The 17,526-nt window shown below is 48.6% G+C and overlaps 1 protein-coding gene across 1 annotated transcript in view, besides 1 other annotated feature; it reads right to left on the reverse strand.

Moving 5' to 3' along the window:
* The window catches only part of KCTD19 (potassium channel tetramerization domain containing 19), a 37,310-nt gene that overhangs the window by 6,639 nt on the left and 13,145 nt on the right, over positions 1–17,526 (reverse strand). Inside the window, exons 3-8 of the mRNA NM_001100915.3 lie at positions 8,351–8,501; positions 7,076–7,267; positions 5,721–5,852; positions 3,293–3,503; positions 1,433–1,593; positions 89–189 (exon numbers count right to left, since the gene is read on the reverse strand). Coding sequence (NP_001094385.1) covers positions 89–189; positions 1,433–1,593; positions 3,293–3,503; positions 5,721–5,852; positions 7,076–7,267; positions 8,351–8,501 — 948 coding nt within the window. The remainder of the gene's footprint in view (positions 1–88; positions 190–1,432; positions 1,594–3,292; positions 3,504–5,720; positions 5,853–7,075; positions 7,268–8,350; positions 8,502–17,526) is intronic.
* Positions 15,706–15,955: an enhancer, noted in NCBI's record as "active region_10963". NCBI's record gives its function as "activates an Ori minimal core promoter by ATAC-STARR-seq in GM12878 lymphoblastoid cells {active_cell/tissue: GM12878}" and the evidence as "EXISTENCE:reporter gene assay evidence [ECO:0000049][PMID:35858748]".

Raw genomic sequence — 17,526 nt, forward strand, 5'->3', positions numbered from 1 at the left:
GAAGCTGTGTGAGGGCCAGGTGATGGCCCCCAGAGCAGCTCAGGTGGTGATGCCAGATGGGGAGCAGGGCAGCCGAGGCCGTCAGTACCTTCAGCAGTGTCTGCAGGGTGGTTGCGTACCAGTGGCTTCCAACATACACTTTGATGATCTGTTGTGGGGAATACACAGTGATCTCTGCCGTCCACTCATCTATGGGAATCCAGGAGATAGAACACATCATCATATGGCCAGAAGGGAAAGCAGGTAGGGCCCTTTGGTTAGTAGTGTATTTCACGTTAAGTCTCAATATCTTTCCTCAGTCATATTGTGTTGCCTAGTCTGAGAAGCAGCAGAAATCCCTGACATAAACCTTGCTTGCTGCAAGGTTTCCTGGGTGGTGAGGCGGGAAAGGGCACTGCCCCTCTTCACCTGACCCTCCTCCCTCAGGAAAGCTGGGTTGATGACCCTGTCCACCTACAATGCCAGCTGCCTCCGGTTTCTGGTTGGGTGTGTCCTGAGTGTGTAGCTTTTCATGTGGCCACTCAGACTGAAGCTAGGAATCTCTCTCTGTGTGTTTATGTTCGTGGTTTGGCAAATGTCATGGAGCCAACTCTCATCAAATCCCTGTCACTTTTATGAGACTAAGCCTCTAGGCATGTCTGGAGAATGGGGGCTGTATGCTGGAAAGATGAACCCATAACCCTTTTCCTGGAGATGACTATATGTAGGCCTTGTTCTGATGTTTGGGAAGCAGTTTCTAATGAGCTCTGTAATGAATGAAGGGTATATAACTAGATTATATAACCAAGAGATAAGATGTATAGAACTAGACCGTGAACTCCAGGAAGAAAGGGACTAAGTCTGTGTTGCTTACTTCTGTGCCGCCAGTGTCTACTGCTGTCCTGGTATATGACCGGTACTCAATAAATGTTGGATGCTGCTAAATGATAGTAATACAGCTTAAACTTTGTCCCCCAAATTTTTGGTAATAAGAAGTTATAGGCAGCTGGTGAAAACAACATTAGCTTTGGACTCAGTCAAACCCCAGCTTGACCACTGTGTAACTTGAGTGAGTTTTCTTCTCTGAACCTATTTTTTGGCTGTTAAATGGACCCAGGGACAGCTCTGTTTAACAGAGGAGGCTCCTCCCTGCATGGCTGTGAGAAGCACAGCAAGTCAGCTCCCAGGGTCAAGGCAGGCCTGCCCTGGGGGTCCTGCGTGGCCCCAGACTGGGTAACAGCCCTGTCTGCTGCTGGAGACGAATTGTGGGCTTGGAGGTGAGGAGGGAGCACTTAATATGAAAGTTTCCCTTTTGTAAAAATCCAAAATATTGGCCTGGCTTTCCCCTCCTCCTCCATCTACAGTTCCTCGTCCTGGCCACATCATCTATTCCCTCCAATCTCCCAGATACTCCCCTGATGCTAAATTCAAACCTAGAAGCTTTCTCACTTACTGAGCACATCCATGGGTGCCAAAGTCCTTGGCTCCAGATGAGTCTTCAAAGCAACTTTGATTGGCTCGTAGGTGATGTCCCTTTTGTCTAGGAAGGCACAGAGCTCATATACCTCGGAAATGGTCTCTGTCAGGGGCAGCCGGCAAGTCCCCAGCCAGTTCCTGCCCAGAGGAAAGGTCTGTCATGAAGAACATCAGCATTGTACCCCAAGAGAGTCGAGCCTGTAAACTTTCCATGCCTAGGATGCCTTGCCGCAACACTGGCTTAAATCAGGCATCATTAACATCGTTTCCTTGTATTTTTTTTTTAGATGGAGTCTCACTCTGTCGCCAGGCTGAAGTGCAGTGACGCAATCTTGGCTCACTGCAACCTTTGCCTCCCAGGTTCAAGCAATTCTCCTGCCTCAGCCTCCCAAGTAGCTGGAACTACAGGCACCCGCCACCACGCCTGGCTAATTTTTTGTATTTTTAGTAGAGACGGGGTTTCTTTTTTTTTTTTTTTCTTTTTTTGAGACGGAGTCTAACTCTGTCACCCAGGCTGGAGTGCAGTGGCGCGATCTCGGCTCACTGCAAGCTCCGCCTCCAGGGTTCATGCCATTCTCCTACCTCAGCCTCCTGAGTAGCTGGGACTACAGGCACCCGCCACCATGCCCGGCTAATTTTTTGTATTTTTAGTAGAGACGGGGTTTCACCATGTAGGCCAGGATGGTCTCAATCTCTTGACCTCATGATCTGCTTGCCTTGGCCTCCCAAAGTGCTGGGATTACAGGTGTGAGCCACCGCGCCCAGCCCGTTTCCTTGTTTTAACTGGAAATCTGTTTAACCTTGTAGGAGAGTAAGCCTGGACAACCGGTCACATTTTTGGAGCTGAGCTTGACTTATTTCAGCAAAGCCCTCTAAATGGACTAATTTCATGTCTCCAGGCCGTGTTTCCGGTTCCAGGGCCAGCCCAGGGCCCAGTCGCTCCCTTCTTGCCTCATACGCATCTGCCCAAGACATCTCAGTCACTGTGTTGCAGCCTGCCACGGTCTTGGAAAAAGGCTGGGGTCTAAACATCAACCCCCTTCTCCAAACCCTCCCTTCCAAGGCACTTGTCTTTGCCCTCTGTGACATCAGGGTGGACATCTCTGAAAGATATGGACTTTATGGGCTAAAAGAGCCCAAAACAACAATATTGGGAAAAGACAGCATTCAGGGTCAGCTGACCCTCTCCCAGGGGCTCCAGAAAACCCACTTCTACCTTCCATTTTGGTGCCAGTCTGTTTTGTGACCCTCAGAGAGTTGCTCTGCTGTTCTGCACCTCAGTTTGCCCATCTACAAAACAGGGTTGGATTCCTTGCCCCTGCACTAATGAGGACATCCTGAGCTCATCCCATAAGGCAAAGGCTGAGGATCAGCACCTCTGGGAAGCCTGGCCTGGCCTGGCCTGCCCTGCCCTGCTTCTAAGGGGGCTCACCCCTGGCTCTGGCCATTCTGTGTGTCCAGTGAGCCTCCCAAGAGTGGCGGAGGACCTTTGTAGAGGGGTCTGCACAGGGAGGTACCCAGCTCCCTGACTGTGGCCTGGTCACCTCAGACCTAGCACAGGGCTAGAACCAGGGAAATGGACTGCAGAGGACAGAAATAGGAAATGGTCTGAAGCCTTTGAACCTTGGCAACCCTTGTACCTTGGCACTAGCCCTCTCCTTTGAGGCCCTAACCTGGTGGTAGTGTGGCGGTGCTGGTGATGGTAATGGCTAAAATGATGGGCTGGCCCCAAGGACACACTTCACCTCTGGCTAGTGGGAAAGGCCCCAGGTTATTCCTAGAGGGAAGGGCAGAGCCAAGGGTGATGGGACTCAGTGTGCCCTAAGGAGGACCTCACTTGACGTGCTGAAAGAGGACGCCATTCCCTGTGATGTACAGTCGGCTTCCGTCTAGCGTGCTCTCGATGCGAAGCTGGCCCAGCGCAGAGTCCGGGTACTTGACCAGCAGACCCAGGGCCATTGTGTAGAGCGGTTTCACGGACTCCAGGCTGGCTGTGCGGGCCCCCTTCCCGGGGCTCAGGGGAGAACAGGTGGTCGGGGAACAGCCACCTGTGTCAGAGAGAAAGGGGTGACTCCTAGGCCCCCCATGGTCATAGCTGGATTGGAGGCTTTGGGGCTCGGTTCCTACTGCTGCCTCCATTGTACCGAGGAGGCTCAGAGGAAGGATATTTCTTTGCACAGTCCAAATCAAGATCTTCTCAAAATTAGTATAATTTTTTTGTATACTCAGGCTTAGAAGTCATAACTATTTGTTGGGAGGTGAGTTGGGAGTGGGGGGATTCATTTGCTGTATCACTAGCATCTGAATTTCCTAAGTTTCAGGAAAGCAGCCATCTGGCCCTAGCCTCTGCAGGAGTCTTCATTAGTTCCAAGCTCTTCTGTAACCATCCAAAGGTAAAGAACGGCAACCATGGCCTGGAAACTCAATGTGTGTTACAGGCTTCCTGGATTCACAGCCCCTGTTGCTGGCTCTCCTGGGCAGAATTTCCCCCAGAGACATACTGTGTGGCATTATTTTCAGGGTGGGTATTTGGGTTGCTGGTTTATGGATGGGACCTTTTTCTCCTATAGTGGGCCTAGGGTACAGTCCAGAGAATACAGTTATCACAGCCTTCAGGACCCTGCTCCCGTGGCAACAATGTGCCAGTGGGCACACTGCTGGGGGATGTTCGTGGATCATCTCCAATCCTCAGAGCAACCCTGCAAGAGGGGATAGTGCTATCATCATTTCACGTTGAAGAACCTGCCCTGAGAGGCTAATGAAGTATCTTGCCCTAAACTGCAAAGCTAGGCAGGGGCAGGGCTAGGATTTGAGGTCAGCTCTGTCCAGCTCCAAGGTTACCACAGCTGTTTCCCTTATTGTGATGCTTTGTAGAAAGCTAAAGCCACCCTTTGTGTTTGAGGAGTGCTGCCAGCTCCCAGAGCCTGGCTGTCAACACACTTCCTCCATCTTTGCATTGCTCTGTGGAGCAGGGACTACGCTACCATCTCACAATGATCTATGTTCTCTGAGGAGTAGAAGGCTTTGAGGGAAGGGGCTGAACTCACACCATCTTAAGCGGATTATAAGGCCCTGGGACAGGGTCCTGAGACCTGCTGGAGCATGCCACTCCCCACAAAGAGGATGGGTTTCTTTTTTGAGAAGGAGTCTCACTCTGTTGCCCAGGCTTGAGTGCAGTGGCATGATCTCGGCTCACTGCAGCCTCCACCTCCTGGGTTCAAGCGATTCTCCTGCCTCAGCTTCCCAAGTAGTGGGATTACAGGTGCGTGCCACCATGCCCGGCTAATTTTTGTATTTTAGTAGAGATGGGGTTTCACCATGTTGGCCAGGCTGGTCTCGAACTCCTGACCTCAAGTGAGCCACTTGCGTTGGCCTCTCAAAATGCTGAGATTACAGGCATCAGCCACCAGCGCCTGGCCAAGAGGATGGGTTTCTATTTGTCTGGGAGAAGGCTGGGAAATCTATGCCTGAAGATAAGGAAAGGCCTGATTGCCATGGGATAAATGTCTGGTGATGTCCAGGCCAAACTTCCCATGTGCAATGCAGTTCTACACATTCTCGGGATGGTGGCTGAAGCCATGCTCAGGTAGCTTGCGCCCTATAACATGCACAGTAGCTTCCATGGAGGTGGAGTTGGGAAATGGAATGATGAACAGCCCTGAGGAAACCATGAGGGGAAGAACAAGCTGGAATGAGGTAGGGCTGGGAGCACGAAGGCCTAGGCTGGACAGGGGTCAGCAAGCGTCAGGAATAGGCAGAAACAGGCACAGCAGCCGGGGGTTTCCACGTGAGGTGACGAGGGAATTTGGGGGTGGATGAGATGCATGAAGCACTGAGCATTTCCCACACCTCCAACCGTGCCTGGAAGAGGAAGGATGGGAGTGGCTGGTGGGTGCTCTTAGTCCCCACCACTTTCACAAGCAGGGCAGACCTCCCCTGCCCCTGAGAAGCCTGCCTTCAGGCCCAGGACATTCCAGCCTGGCTCCCCACCCAGGCTGGGCTCCTCCTGATCCAGGCTGGGCTGGGCTTTCTACACCCCTGGCTGGTTGCCCACTCCCCACCCTCAGTGGGAAGGCTGAGCCGGCAGGGCAGCACACAGGGTTTCAGGCTGTGAATCCTCTTCTTGGATTCAGAGTCAGCCAGAAAACCCAATCCTCTCACTAACCCCCAAAGCCCGAAGTGATTGTGGGAGGGAAGATTGTTCTTGGCTTTTCCAGGTCAAGCCAAGACTGTCGAGGGGGAGCCAAGGTTTCCTGGCGACATACCCATGTTCATCCGGTACCACCTTACGGCTTCAGTGAGTGCAGGGATTTCCAGAATTTCCACTTCTGCTTCTAATACATCAATGTTGGAGAAATTATCCGGTAGTAAAATCTTCTGTGAGCGAAGAAAATTCACTTGAAAAACAAAGGGGAACACAGTGAGTTAATGAGGCTATTTCTGGTTTAGCTGTAGGTCCTGGTTTTGGCAGGTTTCTGGTGCTGTAACTTATCCTAGGTTCTCCTTGTTCTGAAACAACTTATCAACATACCTTATTAGATTAGCTTTGAGTGTGTGGTTTTCAAGGCGAAAGACCCCACATTACTTTGTTTTCCTGTGTCTGAGGCCGTGGGTGTGGCCTCCCGTGGCTTGGCCTGGGGCTCCCAAGCCAGGCCCTCCTGGTGGGCACACTGGCCCTGAGACTTACCCTGTGAGTTTTGACCCAAGAGCAGGTCATTCCAAAAGAGGGAGTTGTCTTGCTGCTTAGAGAGGAGGGGCCCGGCCGAGCCTGGGCTGGCGGGTGGCACTTGCAGTTTGTCCCTGCCTGGACTGCAGTATGGGAGGCAGAGATGGAGCCAACGCTAATGTCCTGTGTGAATCAACTTAGAGATACAGAAGCACATCACAGACAACTTTCTAGGTGACTATGAATATGAATGACTGGGGTTCCAGACATTTGGGCTCCTAGTGTAACTTGAGTGTTTACTGCCCTATCTATCTAGACAGCAGTAGCATCTTGGGGTCAAAGAGATCATTCAGTTCACATCCCAAACAGAGCTCATCCTGGGGCAGTAGGGGGAGAGAGGCTCTCTCTGTCAAAGGTGGAAAATCTCATCCTTCCTTAGGCCACTACCTCAAGTGGACAATTCTGCTATGACTCTGGGGGAACCTGTCACCATCCACCCTCCTTCCCTTTTATTCTGAGTTTGCTGACATTAAGAGCAGGTAGCACCATCCTTTGAAACAATCTGGATTCCTCATTTTATGGTGAGAGGAACTGAGGCCGGAAGACCAGCTGGATACATAAGGGCAGAGTAAGAAGAGAAGCCGACTGGCAACCAGCTGAGCTCCCTGCCCTTCACACCAACTCCTGTGGTCCCTAGCACTTTCCAGTGCCTGACACTTTTACAGCCAGGCCATCCCAAAACAAATAGGGAATAAAACAGCCCTGAGTCTAGTGAGATTCTAATGCTGGAATCTGCTTGCTTCCTGGAAGGCTCTGTCATGCTTCCGCTACCTCTGCCCAGGGAAGCTCCTGAGGCCCTGAGCACCAAGCTGGGCCTCTGTGGGACATGTGATGGGGAGGGGTGAATGGGCCCTATCAGCCCGCCCCCCACCCCACCCCGGACAGAGCAATCACCAATGAAGCGGAACTCGCTGCACTCGCACTCGATGAGGGCCACCGTCTCAGCCAGCCACAGCAGGTTGTCTTCAGTCACTAGGCTGGGATATTTGGCCACCAGGTCTAGGGGCAGGAAGCAGTAGTGCACCTCCTCTTCTGTGTCTAACAGGGGTGTGTCCATGAGCCCCAGAGGTGCCTTATCATGTAGGCCTGGAAGAGAACATGCAGGCAGTGTTGCCACCTCTCAGAAGCCAGGGATCTGATTCCAGCAGGGCTTTCACTGACCCAGGGGCCCCAGAGGATGCTAGAGAGACCCCCCAGGATATGGTCCTTGCCACTTGCCAGACACATCTTCCTTCTTTATCTTTTCAGTTGTAGCCCTAAGGAGTGTGGTAGGGAGTGGGGCATGGAAGTCTATTTTTTTTTCTTTTCTTTTTTGAGATGGAGTCTCACTCTGTTGCCCAGGCTGGAATTCAGTGGTGCCATCTTGGCTCACTGCAACCTCTGTCTCTCAGATTCAACTGGTTCTCCTGCCTCAGCCTCCCAAGTAGCTGGGACTACAGGCACGTGCCACCACACCCAGCTAATTTTTGTGTTTTCAGTAGAGACGGGGTTTCACCATGTTGTCAGGCTGGTCTCGAACTCCTGACCTCACGTGATCCATCTGCCTCAGCCTCCCAAAATGCTGGGATTACAGGCATGAGCCACCGTGCCCAGCTGGAAATCTATATTTTTTCTATAAACAGTGAAGGGCAGTGGGACATGTGACATTTTGACTTATGTATCCAAAGTCATTAAATTCATTTACCCATTTGATTCTAATTGATCAAACCAAACACAGTGATCCACAGACAAAATAGATGCTTTTGACACTCCTGGAAGCTAAAATCCATCAATAATCATAAATGCTTTGTACTCATGTCTCAGATAGGCTGAACTATGCTGCCAGGCACCCATCAGACAGTGATTATTTAGGGACATTCTGTGTGTGGTGGTTGGAGGAAACTCAAAAGAATGGTGGCATTCCCTGATGAATAGGAGGGAGTGGAATGAAACCTCGCCTTGCCCACATGAAGCCAGAATGCAGAGGAGTGAGTGTGGAGGAGAATGTTGGTTCCAGCAGGCAAGCAGCCATGGAGAGGGCCTGTGGCAGGGCAGAAGATCAAAGGAGATGACAGAGACTGCCTCAGAAATCAGGCACTCTCTGCTCTCTGGATGGAAGCCACTTCTGTTAGGGTGAGGAGAGGGAAAGTTGGTGTGGGCTTTAGGGAGGGACAGCCTATCCCAATTCACCTGTAAAGGCTGGGCTTTTAATTGGAAATTCTGAGGGTTTGCTAATACACTTCCATGTACGCCAGTAGTTCAGAGATGCTCTCTCAGCAACAGGTAGGTCTGCAGGCCGTACGCGTAGATGGTGTTTCCCTTCCTTCAGGTTATCTAGAGTCTGTTAGATAATGAAGAGTACTATCTTGAGAATCTAAACCAAGTAACTATGTACCAATTCTAGTGTGAAGATCAGGAAAAACAGTATGTGACTTACTTTTTTTTTTTTTTGAGACAGAGTCTCGTTTTGTTGCCCAGGCTGGAGTGCAGTGGTGCGATCTCAGCTCACTGCAACCTCCACCTCCTGGGTTCAAGCGATTCTCCTGCCTCAGCCTCTCGAGTAGCTGGGATTACAGGCACCTGCCACCACGCCTGGCTAATTTTTTTTTGTATTTTTAGTAGAGACAGAGTTTCACCATGTTGGCCAGGCTGGTCTTGAACTCCTGACCTCAGGTGATCCATCCGCCTCGGCCTCCCAAAGGGTTGAGATTACGGGCATGAACCACCGCGCCCAGCGACTTACTTTAAGTGTTTTGAAATAAATTAGGCAGTCACACAAAAAATGTAAAAATGTAGGGCTATAGGGTGACATGCTGATATTCAAAGTCCCAATGATTATTTCTCTTCTGATTTTTGAAACAAGTTTTGTTATAATTTTATGTTGAGTAATAGTAATTTATCTTGCACAATCTAAAGAGTAATTTCTATTTAATCATTAAAAACTTGTTATTTTCTGCTATCATTTTCCTTCAAGTGCTCAAAATCACTTTCAACCTGTTATAATTGTGATTTGCTATTGTTTGTGTTCATCCTAACCCTGGGTAGTGATCTAAGTGGTGAGATTGAGGTATAATAAACATGTCTTATATTGCCACAGGACTCCACATTTTTCAACACACTTTAACACACTTTTTCTCATTTACCATGACATGATTCTGTGAGACAGATGTGGTTGGTGAGTGTCTTACTGATGAGGCAGCTGAGGTCAAAGGCTTTGTGGCCCGCCCAAGCAGTCTTCCAAGTCCAGAGCTTGTCAGCTTGAAGGATCAGGCGACCAGAGGTGGGCTGAGGCTGGAGTGGAGCACCCCAACTAGGCAAGCCTGAAGCCCAGGGCGGTCTTCGTGCCGCCCTTACCCAGGGACCCATTCTCCCTCAAAAGTCCTGCAGGGGGCAGATTATCATAACATCAGCACCCCCTCCCTTTTTTTTTCTGTCTTTACGCTAGAAGAAGATACATAGTATTTTCCCAATAAATTTCCGGATATAGCAGGGCAAGTGGTACTTTAAAGGCACCAGATCCTCAAAATGGACAGGTGCCCCAGATTTAGTCTGAAACTAACAAATAATCTGCCTCTAAATGCTGCTATGTCAATGAAGCCCTTGTGACGTTGCTCTCAAAAATCCTGAGCATTGAGACTAGTCCTCTGGTGGCCAAGCTATAAACTGTGCCCGCATAATCACTTAAGGTCAATGCAAAAGAAGGCGGGCCAGAGTGGGAGAATCTTTCCCACTCTGGATGGCTGGAGGGTTTGCAAAAGCACTGGGCAATGGTGGGATCGTGGGGAGTGCTTTCCTGTGGCAGTGAACAATGGGGGAGACAGTGTGTGCGTGGAACGCTGGAAGACAGTCTGTCATTCATTTGAGAAATACTCATTGTGCATCACCAGGGCCACAGTCAGACACTGTGCCTGCCCTCAAGAAGCTCTCAGCTTGGGAGAGAAGAAAGATATGAAAGACCACAATTTACGTATACTGAGATTAGAGCCAGTGTCAATTATGAAGTTTCTGGACCTCCAGGAACCCTGGGATTTCTTTCCACAGCATTAGAAGGGAACATTAGAGTCTCGCTCTGTCACCCAGGCTGGAGTGCAGTGGTGCAATCTCGGCTCACTGCAACCTCCGCCTCCTGGGTTCAAGTGATTCTCCTGCCTTAGCCTCCCGAGTACCTGGGATTACAGGTGCCCACCACCATGCCTGGCTAATTTTTGGATTTCTAGTAGAGATGGGGTTTCACCATGTTGGCCAGGCTGGTCTCAAACTCCTGGCCTCAAATGATCCACCAGCCTCGGCTGGTGCTGGGATTATAGGCGTGAGCCACCGTGCCCGTCCTGCCTCTCCATTTTCTCTCCTTTCCTTTCCCCTAGTCCTGGTCCCCTAGCCCCCAGGTCCTCTCCACACAGTGATCTTGCAAACATATGAGGTGAGTCCAAATCACTCCTCATCTTAAAAAACTTTAGTGCTTCCTGTTGCTATGGGATAAATCCAGACTCTCCTTTGCATTGCACATAGGGTCCTTCACAATCAATGGAGGGAGTAGGGTATACACGAAAAGAACAAGGGCTTTGAACTCAGCATATCTGGGGTAAATTCTGACTCTGTCACTTAAAAGCTAACATTTATTACCCATGGACTTTTAAACTGAATCCTTCCAATCTTCCCCTGACAACAAAGTAGGCTCTGGTATCATCACTCCCTTTGAGCACATGGGAAGCTAGGTCCAGGAAGAGGTAGGGGACTAAGTGCACCAAGTAAGTGGAGATACTAGGAATGAAACCCAGGACTCTGGAGCCCAAGCCCTTAGCAACTGTTTTCTTTTTATTGATATGTAATAGTTGTTCATATTTTTGGGGTACATGTGATATTTCAATACATGGATACAATGTATAATGATTAATTTAGGGTAATGAAGATATCCATCACGTCATTTTTTTTTTTTGAGACAGAGTCACACTCTATCACCTAGGCTGGAGTGCAGTGGCATGATCACAGCTCACTGCAGCCTTGACCTACTGGGCTCAACTGATCCTCCCACCTCACCCTCCTGAGTAGCTGGGACCACAGGTGCACATCACAACACCCTGCTAATTTTTTTTTTTTTTTTGAGACAAGGTCTCACTCTGTTGCCCAGGCTGGAGGGCAGTGGCCCAATCTTGACTTACTGCAACCTCCGCCTCCCAGGCTCAGGTGATCCTCCCACCTCAGCCTCCCAAACAGCTGGGACCACAGGCGTGCACCACCACACCTGGCTAATTTTTTTGTATTTTTAGTAGAGGTGGGGTTTCGCCACATTGCCCTGGCTGGTCTCAAACTCCTGGACTCAAGTGATCGGCCTGCTTCAGCCTCCCAAAGTACTGGGATTGCAGGCATGAGCCACCACGCCTGGCCGACAGCCAGCTAAGTTTTAAGTTTTTTGTAAAGACAGGGCTTTGCCATGTTGCCCAGGCTGGTCTTGAACTCCTGGGCTCAAGCGATCCTCCCATATTGGCCTCCTGGGATTATAGGCATGAACCACTGGGCCAGACCCATCACCTCAAACATTTATCTTTTCTTTGTGATGGAAACATTCCAATGATTTTCTTCTAGCTAGTTTGAAATACACAATATATTATTATTAACTATAGTATTCCTAGCGTACTACCAAATACAAGAACTTATTCCTTTTATCTGACTGTAATTTTGTACCCATTATCCAAATTCTCTTCATCTCCTTCCCTCCCCCTACTTTTCCCAGCCTCTGCTGCCTTCCACTTGTCATGTAACTTCTCCAAGCCTCAGGTTCCTCACTGGCAAAGTGGAGGCAGTAAAATCTGGAAGCTGTTGTAAAGATTAAATGAAATAGTATGTTAATTTCCTTCCTTTTGGAGGTCATATCCTAAATTTCTTCCTTCCTTCCTTCCTCCCTCCCTCCCATCCTCCCTCCTTCCTTCCTTCTTTCTTTTCTTTTTTTTTTTTTTTAGTGCCTTGCTGTGTCGCCCAAGCTGGAGTGCAGTCGTACAATCATCATGGCTCATTGCAGCCTTGACCTCTTGGGCTTAAACAATCCTCCTGCCTCAACCTCCCAAGTAGCTGGACCACAGCTGTGCGCCGCAACACCCCATTAACTTTTTGATTTTTTGTAGAGATGAGGTCTTGCTATGTGGCCCAGGCTGGTCTCAAACTCCTTAGCTTAAATGATCCTCCCACCTCGGCCTCCCAAAGTGTTGGGATTACAGGCATGAGCCACTGCGCCCAGCCTAAATTACCTTTCCAGCCTCATTTCCCATCATTCTTTATGTTTACACCCCATCATCAGTGACACTAAACTCCACAAAACTCCAAAAACACATCACGTTCTTTGACACCTCCCCAGCTTTGTGTACGCTGTTCCATCTGCCCAGAATACTCCTCCCCATTCTCTTCCTGAAGAGCCTGGAGCCTCTCTGAGCCAGAATGGGTCATCCCCCCACTTTGTTCCCACAGACACTCAACACTTTCACTTCTCTCTGCAGGCCTCTGGCTCAGTTTCAGGCCAGTTCTTCCCCCTATACCAAGCTTCCTGGGGAGAGGCTGGTTTGATGCATCCCCATTTTGTGTTCTAGAACCTAGCATGCATATGAAAGAATGCATGAAAATGGAGGGCTAGCCAGGTGCGGTGGCTCACACCTGTAATCCCAGCACTTTGGGAGGCCGAGCTGGGCCGATCACTTGAGGTCAGGAGTTTGAGACGAGCCTGGCCAACATGGCAAAACCCCAACTCTACTAAATATACAAAAAATTAGCCGGGCTTGGTGGTGCATGCCTGTAGTCCCAGCTACTCTGGAGGCTGAGGCAATCATTTGAACCCAGGAGGCAGAGGTTTCAGTAAGCCGAGATCATGCCACTGCACTCAAGCCTAGGAGACAGAGCGAGACTTCAGCTCAAAAAAAAAAAAAAAAGAAAAAAGAAAGAAAGAAAGAAAAGGAAGGGCTGGAGGGCTGATTCTCTGCAAAGAAAAGCAAAAAGAAACATGGGAGATCTCCAAAGAAGCGAACAGAGAAGTAGACTGCACTCATAAAACTGAGAAAGATGGAAAGACATTGAGTATCCAAAACCACAGGAAAAACCAGCACAAGATTACAATGGGCAGAGCCTATGGAGTTCAGAGGACAATGAAGACAGGGATTCCACGTTGGGATCTGGAGGCCAGAGGGAAGACCTAACGGGGAGAGGGACAGGGATGAAGGAGAGGGAGAGAGGATGGCAAGAAGAAAGGGTTTAGCTTGGGTCTGATTTGTGATGGACAGAAAGACAGTAGGCAAAGTAGCAAGAAAAGAGTGAAACTAGGGAAAGTCAGCTAGGGCAGCGTAGCACTCCAAGCCCATGCTCAGTGGACTGCATCACAGGAGCTTGAATCTGCCACTTACTTCACCTACAGATTCAACCCCCAAGATTCTGTCTTAGTGGAGAAAATAATAGTGCCTTTGAACAACTCTAAATTGGCCACGTGGGAGAAGGCCTGTGGTGGGGAGAAGGGGAGAGAAATCCCTGCCCAGGACAACACTCCTATTTGGAGGTGTTTGGTACTGGATGTGTCCTCTGGAATGGGTCAGTAGTGACAGTCTAGCTAGTTTGAGAGGAGATGTGCTAGTTGAGGAGAGAATGATCTATTTTGCAGAAATGAAATCTCCATTTCCTGCTATTTCCAAGCATGTAAAGTGTTAGCAGCACCATTTTCCCCAAGAAAGGTATGCCCAAGAAATCTTAAAAAAGAGAAAAACTAAAGCAAGTCCACAAAGATTGCCATCCTTGCCAGTCAGGTCATGCTGCAGGCCAGGCCCAGGCATCGGCCTTGACCTAGGCTCAGGAGCCTCAACAAGGCTGTTTCCCGAACTCTGTCAACCAATACTTGCTCTGACTTCTAGAAATACAAGTCCTCTACTCACGGAAAGCCATTCGGGTGCTATAAGAAATCACAGAAACCATTCCCCAGCCCCTCACTTACTTATTTTTGATCTGCCAGTTTCCCCTAATAGATATAACCTCCCCAAGACCTCAGGACCTTGGCTGTTTTGTCCTCTGCCGTATTTGCAGCACCTAAAACAAGGCCTGTGGGGTCTCAATACCTTTTTGTTCAATGAATGGCTAAATGAATGAAGAACACTCCAGAGAGCCTGGGCTTCCAGCTGCCCTCTGGCTTTGCTGACTGAAATTGCTACAGAGTGTGTGGCTGGTCTTCTACAGGCTGACTTCAAGTCCGCTTTCATCTGCCTGAATACAACTTCCAGGAATTTTACTTTTCACATGTTACGACCTGGAAAAAGTTATTGGAGAGAGGATTTCTTAAGGGAAATACAGACCTTAAATGAATTCAGATGGCTAATTTCTAGCACAAGAATAAATGATGTTGCTTTTGGCCTAGATAGTGGTGAAAAAATATGTCAATCAGAAGCAACATAAAACTGATGGCACGGGGAAGTATGTGTATGTATGTGTGTGGTTGCCAAAGATGGCTGACAAATGCGCCCTGATGGCAGAACTTTGGGACTTAACGGAGGTTTTCCAAAGCAGCAGCAGTTCTCAGAGATGCCTTATGCTCTGATGTAGGCTGTTGGAAAGAATGTGATGGTAAAGGAGCTTGGGGGAACTTCCAAATCCTTGACTGCCTTGTAAAGACAAGGAGGGCCAGCACTGCTTTAAGGCTCAAGGAAAGCAAGGCTGGTAGAACAAAAGGATGTGCAGAACAGCTGCTGTCAGCCCCCAAAGCCAAATAAGACGCAGCTTTCGGCATTTAAAACCTACCCCTTCACTGTGGGCTCCAGTCACCTCACTCTGCAGAAGTCATCTTGAGCATAACACTGAGTGTTCTCTCAGCAGATATGTTGTTAAGCATGTGCAAATGCCAGGTACTGTGAGAGGTGCTAGGTGTTTGTTTCATGAAAACATGAAAAGAGTACAGCCCAGTGAGGGAGAAAGACATATGAATACATGAGAATACATGATCACAACAGAATTAGCACTGCTAGAATGGGGGAATTCAGTCTGTTATGAGAGCAGAGAGACAAAAACTCAGGAAATGTCAGGATAGTCTTCCAGTGGGCCACATTTAGGCCAAATCTTTTTTTTTTTGAGATGGAGTCTCACTCTGTTGTTCAAGCTAGAGTGCAGTGGCACAATCTTGGCCTTGTCTCACTGCAACCTCCGCCTCCCAGGTTCAAGCGATTCTCCTGCCTCAGCCTCCTAAATAGCTGGGATTACAGTTGCCTGCCACCACGCCTGGCTAATTTTTGTAGTTTTAGTAGAGATGGGGTTTCACTATCTTGGCCAAGTTGGTCTCAATCTCCTGACCTCAAGTGATCCACCTGCCTCAGCCTCCCAGAGTTGGGATTACAGGCGCGAGCCACCGTCCCCAGCCAAGGCCAAATCTTAAAAGGGGAGAAATCCAAGAAGAGGAAACGGCAAGTGAAAAAGTGTAGAGAGAAAGCATGTGGGGTGCTTGGGGCAAGGCTGAACTTCAAAGTGTGTGTGTGTGCCTGTGTGTGTGTGTGTGCATGTGTATGTGGCCTTGCCTGCATGTAGGTGTGTGTCTTTGTTGGGATATGAGCCAGCACAAGCAGATGAGCCAGCCTGTGAGGAGCCCTGATGCCACGTCAAGGGGTTTGCATTTGAGTCATCCACTTACCCACACCACAGACAAGCTACACAGTTGGGATGAATATCTGCTGTTTATGTCATCCTCTTCCTTTCCAAGATCACAGTCATAATCTCACATCATGAGTAATGGGAAATGTGAGACTGCCACTGGTCTATTTTCTTAAAAACGTCATTTGTGTGATCAACATAAAAACTCCCTGGCTCCCTTGAGCACAAGGAATGAAGGCGTGTTTGGGTTGCTTGCTGGTAGCAGAATGCTCACAAGTGGAACAATTTAAAGTTCCAAACTGAGAAGTCCCCAGAAGGTGTGAAAAAGGAAACATAAGTAGCATGTCCTGTCAACACATTGTCCTCAGTGGACTTCAGGGGGGAAGTAAAAAAGAATCGATAATTTGCCATGAAACTTAAACCCTGGTGAATGACCCTAAAGGGAAATTCCACACTCTGCAGCTGTGACTCCCACCCAGGCTGATGGATGTGAAGGGCTCAGATCAGTTTACATTTAGGTAAGGTGGCCTTCCCAAATTACACAGGAAGTTCTAGGAGGCCCTGTGATATTAATGTGTGGACCTGTAATGACTACTTTGTATTTCCCCTATAAACAATATACAGTATTCCAAAATATCCAGATTCATGGATTTACATATCAGCTTTTATGACTCCCAAATTTTTATCTCTAGGCCTAACTGTTTCCATGAATTCCAGACCTGTACATCCCGCGCCTCCTGTTTACCTTCACTTGGATGGTTTTATTGCCCTTTCATTGTCTCTCAAACTCAACATGTTCAGATCCTAACTCCTGATTTTCCTCCCTAAACCTGTGTACACATCCCTCAAAATCCACCATTCATCTGGTTGCTCAGGAGAGAAACAAAGGAGTTGTCCATTCTCTCTCACCCTACATTCAATTCATCAGCAAACCCTGTCAGTTCTACCAGCAAGACATATTCAGAGTTTGAACACCTCTAACACTACTATTACCACCATAGAACAAACCACCATTATCTTTCATCTGGATACTGCAGGAGCCTCTTAACTGGTCTGTCTACTTCCTCCCTTGCTCTGCTGCAGTCTAGGCCAGGGGTCAGCAAGTTTTTTTCTATAAAAGGCCTGACAGTAAATATTTTAGGCTTTGCTTTGCTAGCCACATGGTCTCTGTCAACTCAACCACTCAGCTCTGTGTTACAGCTTGAGAGCAGCCATAGACAACACATAAACAAATGAGCATAGCTGTGTTCCAGTAAAACTTTATCAATGGCACTGAAATTAGAATTTTTTTTTTTTTTTTGAGACAGAGTCTCCCTCAGTCGCCCAGGCTGGAGTGCAGTGGTGCGATCTCAGCTCACTGCAACCACCGTCTCCTAGGTTCAAGCGATTCTCTCATCTCAGCCTCCCCGAGTAGCTGGGATTACAGGCACTTGTCATCATGCCCGGCTAATTTTTGTATTTTAGTAGAGATGGGGTTTCACCATGTTGGCCAGGCTGGTCTTGAACTCCTGACCTCAGGTGATCTGCCCGCCTTGGCCTCCCAAAGTGTTAGGATTACAGGCGTGAGCCACCACGCCTGGCCTGAAATTTGTATTTCATATGATTTTTACATAGCACAAAATATTTTTGATTTTTTTTCAACCATCTAAAAATGTAAAACCCATTCTTAGCTCATGGGCTTTCCAAAAAAGGTAGTGGCTGAATTTCGTCCATGGGCTGTAGTTTGCAGATTCTTGATCTAAGGTTAAGCCAGCAGCCAATGATCTTTC

Source organism: Homo sapiens, chromosome 16 (genome assembly GCF_000001405.40).
Source record: "Homo sapiens chromosome 16, GRCh38.p14 Primary Assembly".
Lineage (NCBI taxonomy): Eukaryota > Metazoa > Chordata > Mammalia > Primates > Hominidae > Homo > Homo sapiens.